This window comes from Homo sapiens, chromosome 7 (assembly GCF_000001405.40).
Source record: "Homo sapiens chromosome 7, GRCh38.p14 Primary Assembly".
In the NCBI taxonomy this organism is placed as follows: domain Eukaryota; kingdom Metazoa; phylum Chordata; class Mammalia; order Primates; family Hominidae; genus Homo; species Homo sapiens.
The window spans coordinates 39345148-39358205 of NC_000007.14; the positions used below are offsets into that span (position 1 = coordinate 39345148).

The 13058-nt window shown below is 41.5% G+C and overlaps 1 protein-coding gene across 5 annotated transcripts in view, besides 2 other annotated features; it reads left to right on the forward strand.

Annotated features, from left to right (window-relative positions):
• POU6F2 (POU class 6 homeobox 2) overlaps positions 1–13058 on the forward strand; it is a 490693-nt gene that overhangs the window by 367239 nt on the left and 110396 nt on the right. The window lies entirely within an intron of this gene.
• Positions 8275–8852: an enhancer, noted in NCBI's record as "OCT4-NANOG-H3K27ac-H3K4me1 hESC enhancer chr7:39393021-39393598 (GRCh37/hg19 assembly coordinates)". NCBI's record gives its function as "activates a minimal SCP1, AML or CMV promoter by ChIP-STARR-seq in naive H9 embryonic stem cells {active_cell/tissue: H9 hESC(naive)}" and the evidence as "EXISTENCE:reporter gene assay evidence [ECO:0000049][PMID:30033119]".
• Positions 8853–9430: an enhancer, noted in NCBI's record as "NANOG-H3K27ac-H3K4me1 hESC enhancer chr7:39393599-39394176 (GRCh37/hg19 assembly coordinates)". NCBI's record gives its function as "activates a minimal SCP1, AML or CMV promoter by ChIP-STARR-seq in naive H9 embryonic stem cells {active_cell/tissue: H9 hESC(naive)}" and the evidence as "EXISTENCE:reporter gene assay evidence [ECO:0000049][PMID:30033119]".

The window sequence follows — 13058 nt, forward strand, 5'->3', positions numbered from 1 at the left end:
GTCATATGAACATTTAGTGATCATGAATTTTTGGCACTCATTCTTAAAATATTGTAGTAAGGTCTTATTCATCTTGATTACTACGTTTCTGGACACACCTTTAAATTTGGTTCCTGAAATGAGTGCCTCATTCATCTCACCCTCATCCCTCTCAGCTTTGCTACTGGCTGTCTAAATGATTTAGTTAGCAAAAATCCGCCAAAGTCAATGACATTCTGTCCATTGTAAATTTCGGCCAGGTCTTTGATCTCACTTTCTAGTTGAACTTGAACATTGCACCAAATTTTGCACAGTAGAAAAACAAATGCATGTTGGATAACAAATTGGGGCAAGGAAGGGGCTAGAAATCCATCTTCTTCATTGCACAGATCTAATAAAGCAATTATTTTTGATGGAACTGAAATGTTATGACAATCAAATAACTCTTTTGGCTGACATTTTTCACTGAACTAATTTATGATTTTATGAAATTAAGTAAGTTTAGTAAAAATAATGGAAGTATCACTATGTAGACAACATTCTCTCAGAGCAATCCGAGTTCTGAGGACCTTTGGAAAACTGGAAGAATCCACATGGGGTAGGCAAGGTTTCCTCTTGGCTAAAAAGCCAAAGAAAACTTTATTACTATGGAAAAGAAAATCCATCTAAGCTCAGAGAGTTATGAAAATCAAATATAACATACTGATGAGAATGCTTTTGTATGCTATAAATTTGTTAAGCAAATGTTGATTAGCCTAAAGATATAAAAGAGTATGAATTTATTTCTGTTTATACTACCTTCCAGAAAATTGAGGGCTTCATTCATGATTCACTCATTCAGTGAGAGATCGGGTGGGAAATGAGAATCCCTTTACCCAACTGTATTAAGTACTGAATAAAATAAACATAACATATTTATCCATATACTCTGCAAGGGACAATTTTTCCTTTTATGAAAGAAAGAAAATCTCCTTTAAAAAACTCTCAGTTCAACATTACTGGCATTTCAAAGAATTTATTACACGCATTTGAGATCCAGGAGGAACAACAAAGTTTATATTGCTTTGAGAGTGGCAGGGAAAAAATTAGTTTACCAAGAATCTACTCATATACTGTAGTGCTTCTTTGTCGTTGTCTAGATTTACCATTCCTGGGTACTGCTCCGTAGATTAGTCAAATCATGTAGAAAGGGGTTTAACAAAGCAGGAAGCATGTTCACACCACTGGCTATGGAAACTCACGTCAAGTAGCGATAGATGATGAGGGTGCCAGACTCAAAGGAGGATGGGAAGATTCTTGCAGCGTTTGAACATGGCAAGTGATCACTTCTCAAAGAAAAGAGAACCACTCTGATCCTGACAGTGGGGGTAGAGCAATGGTCTGTCTGCAGCAAGCTCAGCAAAGAGCCTAGAGCCACATACACTGTCCAGTCCCTTCACTGTTGGATGGTGGTTGATGAAACTAATCCCAAAGTCTAGCTCAGAATGCTTCTGAAACAGTTTTGCCTTCATGTGCATAGATGCAGGGTCTAGTGGCAATTTGAGATGCCCAAAATATGCCGGCTGGCACTTTGCTCTGAATGAGCAGTGCTTGGCCAGTATTTATGTGAACTTAATACAATATTCTACTGCTTTCATGATCACAAGTTATTTCTCATCTTGTAGCTTCAATTCATTTCCCACAAGTTTGGGGTAAATTTTCCACTGGTTTTTAAATTAACTTCCAAAGCATAGACTTGCAAGTGAATATTCTCCACGTTGTAAAGAAAGCACTTTTATCATGATTTGTAAATATTTACTGAGCACCTGTGCTGTGCATTGTCCTGGAGAAGGTTTGCAGAACAGACAAGATGATGCCTCAGAGAAAGTGTGATCTTGAGAAGCAGATGGGCCTGGGTTTGAATGCTCGCTGTGCTGGACATTTGAGTCAAGTCAGCACATCCTTCTGAGCCTCAGTTTCCTCACTGGTCAGACAGTTGGTGTGGGGATTAAATGCAATGGCTTATGTGAGGGTATCTAATTTGGTTCCTGATAGATATCTGGCACTCAAAAAATGTTAGTATCCTGCCTACTTTTTTTCCATCCTCGACTATAGATATTATAACCTGTTGGGGAATATGAGACAAACACATGCACTCAAAGTTGAACAAAAAGCAAATAGTCACAGGAATGTAAAAATGCATGTGCACACAATAAAATGATGCCCTGCAAACTACACAAAAACCCATAGTAGCTAGAATGAGGCTAATAATTGCATGTCAGTTTCGTAGCGTCATCCTGAGTCAGAGAGGTACGGGGCATTTCTGAGGAAAGGGGTGAGGAGCACACACAGTACAGGGCAAACCTACACTAAAGGGCATCTCAGAGCTGTGGAGCTCCAAGGGGTTTAGAACAGAAAGAAAGGACTGTAGCCATGCACTCACATAATGCTAATATTGCCTAATCATATAATCTTAAAGACTTCCAACTTAAACCTCAGTTTCCCCATCAATATTATTATTACTATTATTATTATTATTATTATTTGAGAAAGAATCTCACTGTCACCCAGGCTGGCATACAGTGGCACAAACACAGCTCACTGCAGCCTCGACCTCCCAGGCTCAAGCCATCCTCCTGCCTCAGCCTCCCGAGCGTCTGGGACTACAGGCATGTACCATCACGCCTGGCTAATTTTTGTATTTTTTGTAGAGATGGGGTTTTGCCATGTTGCCCAGGCTGGTCTCGAACTCCTGGGCTCAAGTGATCCACCTGCCTCAGCCTTCCAAAGTGCTGGGATTATAGGTGTCAGCCACTGTGCCCAGCCCATCAATATTATTATTAAGAATGAAGAATTTTTTTATTATACTTGATATAGGATAAAGATGCCATCACAAATTAATAGGGAAATAACATATTGTGTAGTAGTCAATAGTTGGGAAAATTGGTGTACAGATATTAGGCTGGGAGAAGACAGTTGTTACATCTAAAACTTTCAATATATGAACTATACATAATAAACTCTTGAGAAAACAACAAAAACAAACAAAAAAGAACCAAGAATTATTTTTTCCTTGTAAATTCCCAAAGTTGTGGTTTTTAGTATTTGGGTAAAGAAGAAGAATCTTGATGATCTCACTTCTGCCAATAACTAGATCGCTAATTAGTGACCATGGGCAAGTCACCTAATCTCTTTAGGACTCAGTTGTGTCACTTATTACATGAAAAGTTTATATTAGATGATCTTTAAACCCATTTTTATATACTTATTTCATGCATTGGCCTCATGAGTTCACAGTTCTAACTGGAGTAACCATGATCCTTTACCTATGTATCTTTTACTAAGTTCTTTGGTCTCTCTTTTTCTCATCACAACCCAGAAGAAGCTAAAATTGCCTTCATTCCAACCCAAAGAAACTAAGTCTCAGAAAGTTCAAGCAAATTTCTCAACATCACTAACAACGGCTGAATTGGGATTCCAGATCTAGTCTGTCTGACTTCAAAGTGTCTCTATTTATATCTTACCACCTCTGCGATGTTCATTTTGGTTATTAGTGAAATATATATTCTTATTTCCTTATTGGCTCCCAGCATTTTCCAAGTCAGCATTTCTCAAATTTTCTTCCACAAAACACTGATCCAAAGAAATTTTATTAAAAACAGATTCCATGGTGGGTAGGCAGGTAGAAAGATAGATGGGTAGATAGAAGTGCTGCATGCTATATCCTGTTCCTGTATATTTTGCAAAGATTATTTGAATACTGAAGGCTAAAAGACATCCTGCAGTAGAGATGTCTAGTTAACACGATTTAACCAAGAAATTCTGAAACCTGTGAAACCTCTAGAGCCTTTTATTTCACATAATGCTAATTAATATCTCCTGTGAAAAATCCTTCAGGAACCACTGCTCTAAAGCCTCCTTAATTGTGGGGTCAGCACAACTAAAATAACCTCCATTTCCTTATCCAGGACAGTATGTAGAAATCCACAGACTAGGTCCAATAGGCTGGGCCGTGGAGAAAACCAAGTATAGAAAGGTGAGAAAAGAGGGAAGGAAAAACTTAAAACTAAGGCAAGAGACGAGAAAGCTGAAACGGTATGGTTCTGATAATTGACAGTGAGGAAAATCACTTCATAAAATACCTGGCTGGGTTGCTTCTCGTGGCAGCTGAAGTCTTGGAGACCTTCTCTTCCAGATAGTCCTCCCTTCTTCCTTCCTTTTCTTCACTGCCCATTGTCTCTAGTGCTCACACAACCGGAGTCCTGCCTCCTCATGCCACAGCATGAGAATCACGGCCAGGGTGCCCCTGGACCACGTAGCCCCTGCAGACCCACGGGACCGACAGAACTGGGAGAGTGCATGCCTTCTCCCCTTCTCACTTGCACCCTCCTCATCTTTTGACTGAGGAATTTCCAATGGTCAGGAGATCCCCCAGCCCCTGGCACCCTCATTCTCCACCCCTGCATTTTAAGAGGGTCTGGATTCCAAACAACAGCTCACATCAGCCTGAAATCTGTATGGTAAGCCAGGACTAAGTCGTCTAGAGCACCAAGCAGTCAAAACTCCATGTCTGTGGGGCATTGTCTTAGTTACAAGGCTCCTATCCTGCTCTTTTTCTATTTCCTGTTTTTAAAAATAGACTCTCAGAATCACTGGTGTTTTCTTTCTCTTTTGTCTTCCACTGTTGAGAACTAAATTGGGCATTCTGGCTGAAAACACCAGTCCTGGGGCCCTGTGAGTGCAGAGCCAAGGCAGAGAAAGGCACCATGTTGAGGCATGCAGGACAGGTTCATGTGCCACTTGGAGTGGCTGTCTCCTGGATAGGGCAATTCTGTGTCCTTGGCCACTCGGTAGGGATGCCTTCATGGCCGCAGATGAATGCAGCAGTGGAGGGGTGCCCTGCGTTTGTATGCTGTCAGCTCTGTGCTCAGAACTAGTAGCTGTGTCTGAAGGCTCAGTTGGGCTCCGATCAATGCAACCCTTCCAGCCCGTTTTGTCTGAACTGTAGTTCGACAGGGCTCAGCCCAGCACCTCCACTTAGTTTTCTACACCAGGAGATATTTAACTGTCATAAAAAAGAAGTAAAGTTAGAGATTCCTTTTTTTTTTTCTCAGCTGGACTCCATATCCTGCCAGAGACTAGCTGCTCTTTCCAGACATGAGTTCTCTGTCCTTGTATTTTGATGTTGTGACTGTGGCGTTTAAAGAGAACAAAGCAACATTTAGGGGTCCGGGGAGAAGATTTAAGAGAAACCCTCTCACTTCCCCCAAGGAAAGCTCTCTGGAATCTGGTTGTCTTGGAAACTTGGTTTTTTGGGGTTTTTTTAATTAGATAAAATATAAATAATCTTGAACTCCTGTCTAAGGTTTAAAAAAGGAATATTCCTTAGAGCAGTTCTCACCTCCAGTAGTCTGCACTCCATGGAAGGAATCTGACCAATCTAAGGCTAAAGCCAAGTGGTCTTTGGGACCAACCTGAGGCAGAAAGTTATGAAAGGCAGAAAGCAAAAATGGATGTTTTCCAAGCTCCCTGCATGCAATGATCACATTAAAGCCATTTGACACATCTTCAAGGCACAGCCTACATGTTATTTTCATTGCTAGTGAGCCTCTCAAGTGAAAAAGTGAGTATCTTCATACCAGAAAGGAAGACCTGCATGTAATCAAATATTTTCAGGGCCACTGGGCCTTGCCTGGCAGGTGACTGTCTCTCCCTCTTCTTGTCTCACCCAAGCCACACCATCTTCAAACAGCTGAGACCACGCCTGCGCTCCTACAGCCATATTTTGTTCAATTCCTTTGTATTCTTTTCCAAGAGAAGATTTTCCAAGTTTACAGCAGTGGTTCCCAATGTTGGCTGTACGCTGGGAACACCTGAGGAGTTTGTTTGCTTGTTTGTTTGTTGTTTGAAGATACCAATGCCCTGGGGCCCACCCAAGGATTCTAATGGAACCGCGGTGGGCACCAGCATTTTTTAAACTTTCCAGGAGACTCCGTGTGTGCAGCCAGCTTTGAGGACAACTATGTATGATCTTGTAAATAGGCTGCCAGTTATTCATTTATAAAGAACAAAATCCTACCCTTTGTTTATGCAAAATGCTTTTTGCCGTAAGTATTGATTGCATGAGTCAGCACTGACTTTATTTTATGATATAATAAGACTGGGTCTTCATTTCCAAAAAGGATGAGCCAGCATCATTTGTGCTCTACCCCTCCCCAGATTCACAGCCCATCAGGAAAGGAAAACAACCCTGTCTGTGCTTTGTCAGCCACCTGGGCCCCTCCCAGACTCTGGAGTTGAATTATTAGCCCGATATCTGCAGAAAAAGTTCAAACCTGGTGATTCCTATTTGATATTTAAAATATAATAGGGAAAGTAAATAATCCTTTTCATAATCTTTAACATCTTCTCAAAACAAGAACAATTGCTACTGATTGAGAGCCCATTAGATGCCCCACTGCTGCTAGATGTTGTCTCATCTAGTTTATAGTAGGGCTTTTCAAACTTTTATTTGCATATGGATCCACCTGAAATGCTGGTAAATGTAGATTCTGATCCAGAGCCCACCCCAGATGCTGCATTTCTAACCAGCTCCAGGAATGCTGATGCAGCGGGTTGCTCACCTTGAATGGTAAAGTGCTACTCAATGGACCCACCACCCTCCTGCCCCAGTACCACCAGCTCCATTTCACACATGAGGACGTTAGGTGTGAGGACTTGTAAGAAGTGAGATTTAAACTCAGATCTATCTGATGTCAAAACCTCACCCACTGCGCAAATCTGCCTCTTGTTAGTCTTTTCTCATGGTGGGAGTTTCCTCCTTCTAAAGTGATGTTATTTAAATTACATGACTCCTGGAGTCATGGAGGTAGATAGCACTGTTGGAGGAAAGACTCTCATTTGCCCACCTCTCTGACCTTTCTTGTAGCTTACATCTTTCTCATAGCTCCTGATCTAAATCTTGATTGATTATTGCTCAGCAATCAGTAACTCTAAGCTTGGGGTTGAGGACAAGTCTGTTCTTTTTGTTTAGTAAATATACTAGTTTTGTTGAAGCCATTTCTACAAAACTGAAACACCAGTGCAGCGATTAAAGTGGTCTGTGGCCACTAACTAAATTAGAGCTGAGATAGCTAACAGAAACCCTGTGAGAAGTCAGAGGGTCTTATGATAATTTGTAGGCCCCAAATCACCTTGCTATAGGACTGTGAAGATCACACATACCTGTCCCCACTGTCTTTCATGCAGCAATCACAGTGCATTTGAGATTGCCTGCCTCAGTGAGGGGAGGCGGCAGCTTCTCCTAACACCATAGCTTCAACACTCTTTTTCGAGAGCAAAACACAAGATACATGCAAAACAGTAACAAAATGATCCTTAAAATGTAGAGGCCATACACAGAATCAGACTGTGGTTCTTTTTACCTGATTTCAGATCCTGTAGTGGTGGTTCGGAGAAATTCCTTAACCTCTTAAGGGGGCAGGGGTGCAGGAGAACTGTGTACAAAATGACATTCATAGTAAGCATACTCCAGTGATATGTTTGTTTTCAGAAATAGTCACTCCTGTTTGAATGGGGAATTTACTTTATAATAATTGGAAGTGCTGCCATCATTGCAAGACAATGGTTTCCTTTTTTTTCAATTTTCATTTTTATTTTATATTTGGGGGTACATGTGCAGGTTTGTTACAAAGGTATATCACAAGGTGCTGAGGTTTGGGCTTCTATTGCTTCCATCACCCAGGTAATGAACATAGTGCCCAAAAAAAGGAACTTTTGCAGCCCCTGCCCCTTCCTACCCAGCCACCTTTGGAAGCCACTAGAGTCTCATGTTCCCCCCATCTTTTATGTCCCTGTGTCCCCAAGATTTAGCTCCCACCTGTAAGTGAGAACATGGAATATAAAAACACGTTTTCTTGACAAAATGGAAGAAATGTCTTCAAAAACACCTGCCCTTTCAAAGGTCTTGGCCTGACTTTGCATTTCCTGCAAGGAGGCAGGTGGACCTAGGAACCCAGGCACAGCTGGACCTTTGTCCAATGTCTGCCTGCCCCAGATTGGACGGGCAGGTCCTGCTGATGATGGGCTTTGGGAAGAAATCTCATTCACACTTTCATCTTCAAAGAACAGAAACCTACCGGAACTTGTACAAATATCAGCCTAAGGATGCATACATGAATGCATGGGTTGACCTAAAAGAAAACAAATTGGGAAAATAAACTCTTATGTCCTGCCAACCCCCACCCAATATGTATATAGTTGTCTCCTTGCACTAAAGGGTTAAACTATTATGTACATGTGAACGACAAATCCTCATAGTCACTTACATGTATTTTCAATATTTGTATGTATGCATACTTGCGTTTGCTTAATATATACGTATGCATGGATTTATTTAAAATGCTTTAAAATTTATTTAAAATCATCTAAGGGATTCTGTAAAGCATCCACTTATGGGGTGATCCATGTAGTTTGGGCAAATCAGTGGAATGGGGAAACATGACATTGTCTAGGGCTTTTCTTCCTTTCTTTTCCTGCCTGGGACGTTTTGAGAGAATGACTAAGCAGTGCTGGAGATTATGAATTTGCTTAAGTGTGAATGGCTGATTGCCCAGCAGGAGGCCCGGCCCTCCCCAAAGGTGATGGACTGGGGCTGCAGGTCTTCACACTTGATGCCTGGATTTGACTCGGAAAGTCTGCCAAGTCTTTTACTCGGAAATTTATCTTAATTAGATCTGAAAGACCTGCCACAGCAGAATAGTCACACCGATTAAAATGAAAAACAGGAGAAATTACTGATCAAATTAATCATAATGTCGGGTTACAGCTGTAGGTCTGATGTAATTTGCCACTCCAGTGAGTTACATCGGCCCAGGCCCGGGAAAGGAAGCTGGCTTTACGCTGATCCGTAACACCCGCCCGCTCCAGGCGGCCCGGCAGGAGGCTGATTCCATTCATTTTTCCTGGCTTGCTCTGACCTCCCTGCTGCAACTGGAAACAAATCAGGCACCAAACAAATGGGAGGTGGGGGGAACAGGGAGGGTAAACAAGAAATATTTTCTTTTCCAAGAGACTGTACTATTGTACTATTTCAAAATGGTGAGCTTTTTAATCTCAGCCGGGCGGGCCTGGGGCCCTGTGCTTGTTTGGCTTTGTGCTTTTGTTTTTTCCATTTAACCTCCTTTTAGTTTTACGTGTGGTGACCTGACATTGATTAGATGCAGAGTGGGAATCAAAAGGTCAGAGGACAAAACCTTTAGCTCTGAGCAATAGGAAAAAACCTTTAGAAAAATCTCCTTGCCAACATGGTTCTTCAACTAGGACATGGATTGAAATAATCTAAAGTGTCACAAGAGAGGAAGAAGAAACCTAGGCTGTGAGATCTGATTGTTCCAACATAGATATGGTCCTGGTGTTCTAATGTTTAGATAAACACCACTTTATACCATACCATGTGTTCAGGGTTGATGTGGACGGCGTATAGTATTTTTTAAAGAAAACACATCAGAGTCTAGATCCTTTTCATTGTATCTCCTTGAATCTCACTGTAGTTAATTCTTATCTCCCCATTAGAGATTCAAAGGAGACCCTAAAACACAAAGAAGGAGACCCAGTCTAGCCATTTCATTAGGAATTCTCAGAAGTTAGAATTTAGGAGGAATGTAAGACTTCTTGCTAACTATTTCTGCTTTATCAGGAAACTAGATAAAGAGAGTTCAGCCTTTCCTGAAGGAAATCATCTTAAAACAGAGATTATTGGAAAGGAGCAGGGAGAGGAGGTGTTCTTCCCAATCAATAGTTATCAGTTGCCTTTGGAGCAGTAAGAGCTCTCTTCTTGACCATATGATAGGTTGCCTAAATCCCATTTATTCATCACTGGGCCAGATGTTTATACTCTCTGCCCCCAGTCTGACAAGGCTCTCCCTCCCACCAGGAATGAATCTGGCACATTTTTAAAATGAGGATCCCTTGAACCAAGGAATAGGAAGACAGGCAGTCATGGAAACAGGCTGGCCCTGGCACTCAAGAGGCTGTGCCTTGGACCTTTCTAGGGATCCTTGTGAAGGATTAGGTGGGACCATGTGCCCAGATTGGGGAAGGGCATGGTGTTTTTCATGACATTGTGAGTGATTGCTAAATTGGTTTAGTAGTTTGTAACTAGCATTTTTAAAAGAAAATAATAAAAAGGAGTAGAAAATGCCAGAGCACAGAAAGGCTACAAATTTTTTTAAGGACACTTTCCTTTAAGTGATATACAAATGAACATATATAGTTACATGTTGAGAGATAGATCTAATTGTACATATATATTTTGTATGTATATATGTGTTGGCCTGAGATGTAAAATGTGTTTCTTCTTATGAGACAAGATCAGAAGAATTTGAAAAACCCTAGCCTGAAAGACCCAGCTTTTCAGGTAGACAGAGATGGGATTTCTTAGGTGTATAGCAGGCCAGGAAGCAGGTATATCAGTATCCCAACATATTGCATGTGATATGAGCCCCTAAACACCAAACACCCTTCCCAACAGTCAAAAAGAACGAAAAAGAAATGCCCACCACCCAGCCCCCCAGCCTTCGCCCACACACACGTATCTTCCAGGGAACTTCAAGTTTCAACATTATACCACTGCCTATGTGGTTGAAAACACACAGCAGATTAGTGGTTTAACAAGCCTATTAAAATGAGAGACTAAGTAATATATTAAAAGCTGACAAGTAGTCCCACCAAAAATGAGTAGATAATTCTAAAGAGAAAGTGAAAGGGAAAGAGAAACAGTGGGAAGGAAGCACAGAACCCCACAGGGATTAATTGGCTAATTTAGGCCCCTGGAAGCTGTGTCCCTCAGGAAGGTGCAAGTCGAAGGCCAGGTCCACAGGCCCCTGGTCAGAGAAGTCAGGGGCTGTCGAGCTTCACATCCAAAGTACCTGGAACTTTTCTCACTTTTCCCACCTACTCTGGCCCCAAGGCAGAGCTATCACCATCTTCCCTAACTTGGTCTTTCTACTTCTGTTTTCTCTCTAATCCACTTTGCAAACCACTGTCAAGTTAATCTTCCTAAAAGAACATTTAGTTTATATCACCTCCATGCTCAAACCCTCTGCTGGCCTGTTTAGCCTGGACACTCTGGCCCTACTCATCACCCCATCCTCCAACTCCCTCTGCCACATTCACCCTGGCCTCCCACCATGCCCAGATGTGCCTGACACAATCCCTCCCTCGCTTTGCTGGTCCATGCCCCTTGCCTGGAATGTCCCGTCTTCTCATCACTGACCCCTCATGGCTCACTTCACTTCCTGCTCCTTCCATGAAGTGCCCACAGTGGCCCAGCCCTCAACAATCACTTTCCTGAACTCGTATATTGGGCACTTAGCATTTGCTCTTTAAGTCTTTTTCTTTTATTTTCATCTTTTTTATGAACAATTTATTATCTCATTTGAATTATAAGCCCCTTAAGAACAGACACAATGTCTCACACCTCTGTGTATCCCAGGGCTGTCAATAATTGTTGTATGTGACGATTTCTGATTTAACAATTATTCATGTCACAAATATGTAAGTGCCTGTGATCAGACTGTCTTAAATTTCTTTGCAAAATTTCTTGACGAAGATAACGATGACTAATGAAAGAAGAGCTATTTATTGTTATAATTAGAACCATGCTTGGCACATCATAAGAACTATAAAAGCCTTAGATGCTACGATGACTCCTTTGAAATTGTTTCAACCCCATCCTTCTCTGCATTATCTTCACAGTGGGTTTTGGGAAATGGGGGCTTGATTTAAATGCTTTAAATCAGTTTATTTTATCTGGGAAGAAATGTACATCAAAGTAAGGACCATCATTTTCTAATTAATCTGTTTCCTTTTCCCTACCATCTCAATAACACATGGTAGTTCTTGCTATTCAGAATATAATAGGCAAAGAAGCAGGTCTTGTTAATACTTTATAGATCTGATTGATCCGTGGGTTAAATCATGTTACCCAAAGCATAAACATATTATAAAGAAGATAGGGAGACCCAAAGAAAATGAAAATGGATCTCCTACCTTGAGTGCACCTCACACCCCACTATTGGATGCCTGGGACTCTCACATGACACAGCCTGGCTGCTTCAAACCCCACTGCAAGAGCAGGCAAACACACATGGAATCTCCCAGTATGAAAACAAGGATCCAGTTTAAAAAACAAAAACACTGCTGGGCACTTAACATATGCCAGGCACTGTCCTAGGTGTTTTGGGTATGTTTTTCTACGAATGCCATGCAATTACTTATGAAAGCGAGGAAACTAGGGTTCAGAGGAAGCTGGTAACTCATCAAAAGTCCCACAGTTTGTAAGAGGTGGAGCTGGAGTTTGAGCCCCGGTCTGACCCCAAGGGATCCTCCCACCTCCTTTTAACCGGGGTAGTCTCTGTGCAAGTCTACCATCCAGGTAATCCCTAACATTTCATTCTCAGGACTGTTCTGGCTTGGAGGATAAATTATTGGGCCTTTTACCCCAAGCCCATCACCATGCCACCTCCAACATTTTTCCAAACTGCCACCTGATTTCACTTGGCTTGATGCCACAAAAGCTAAGAAGTTTGGATGACTTCTAAATTTAATAAGAAGATGGAAAAAGTAATTCTTATAAATGTATCATGTTCTCTCTAGAGCCAAAAATGCCATGTTATGAAAAGGTTTGCAGGTGGCACGGAGGGGAAGGGGCAAAGGGTTTCATAAACAAGGGTGGGGGCTTCAGAGTACGAATTGCTCTAGCGCCCCCTCTGGTGGCCTCTGAGGGTGCTTCAGAGCAGTCATGATTCCCAGATTGGCCACATATCAAAACCACCTGCAGAGATTTCTTCTCAGATGAATTTTGAGAGAAAGAGAGAGAGTGAGCTAGGAGAATTGGACCTGTAGATCAAAAGACACAGCACCAATCTCATTATGTGAGCCTTATTTAGATTACAATTCAAGCAAACTGTAAAAAAGAAAAAGCATGACATTTATGAGACAATTGGAAGTATGACCACTGACTGGATATCTGATGATACGAAAGAATTATTTTTAATATTTTTTGGTGTGATAGTGATAGGTAGTTTTTTTTTAACAGT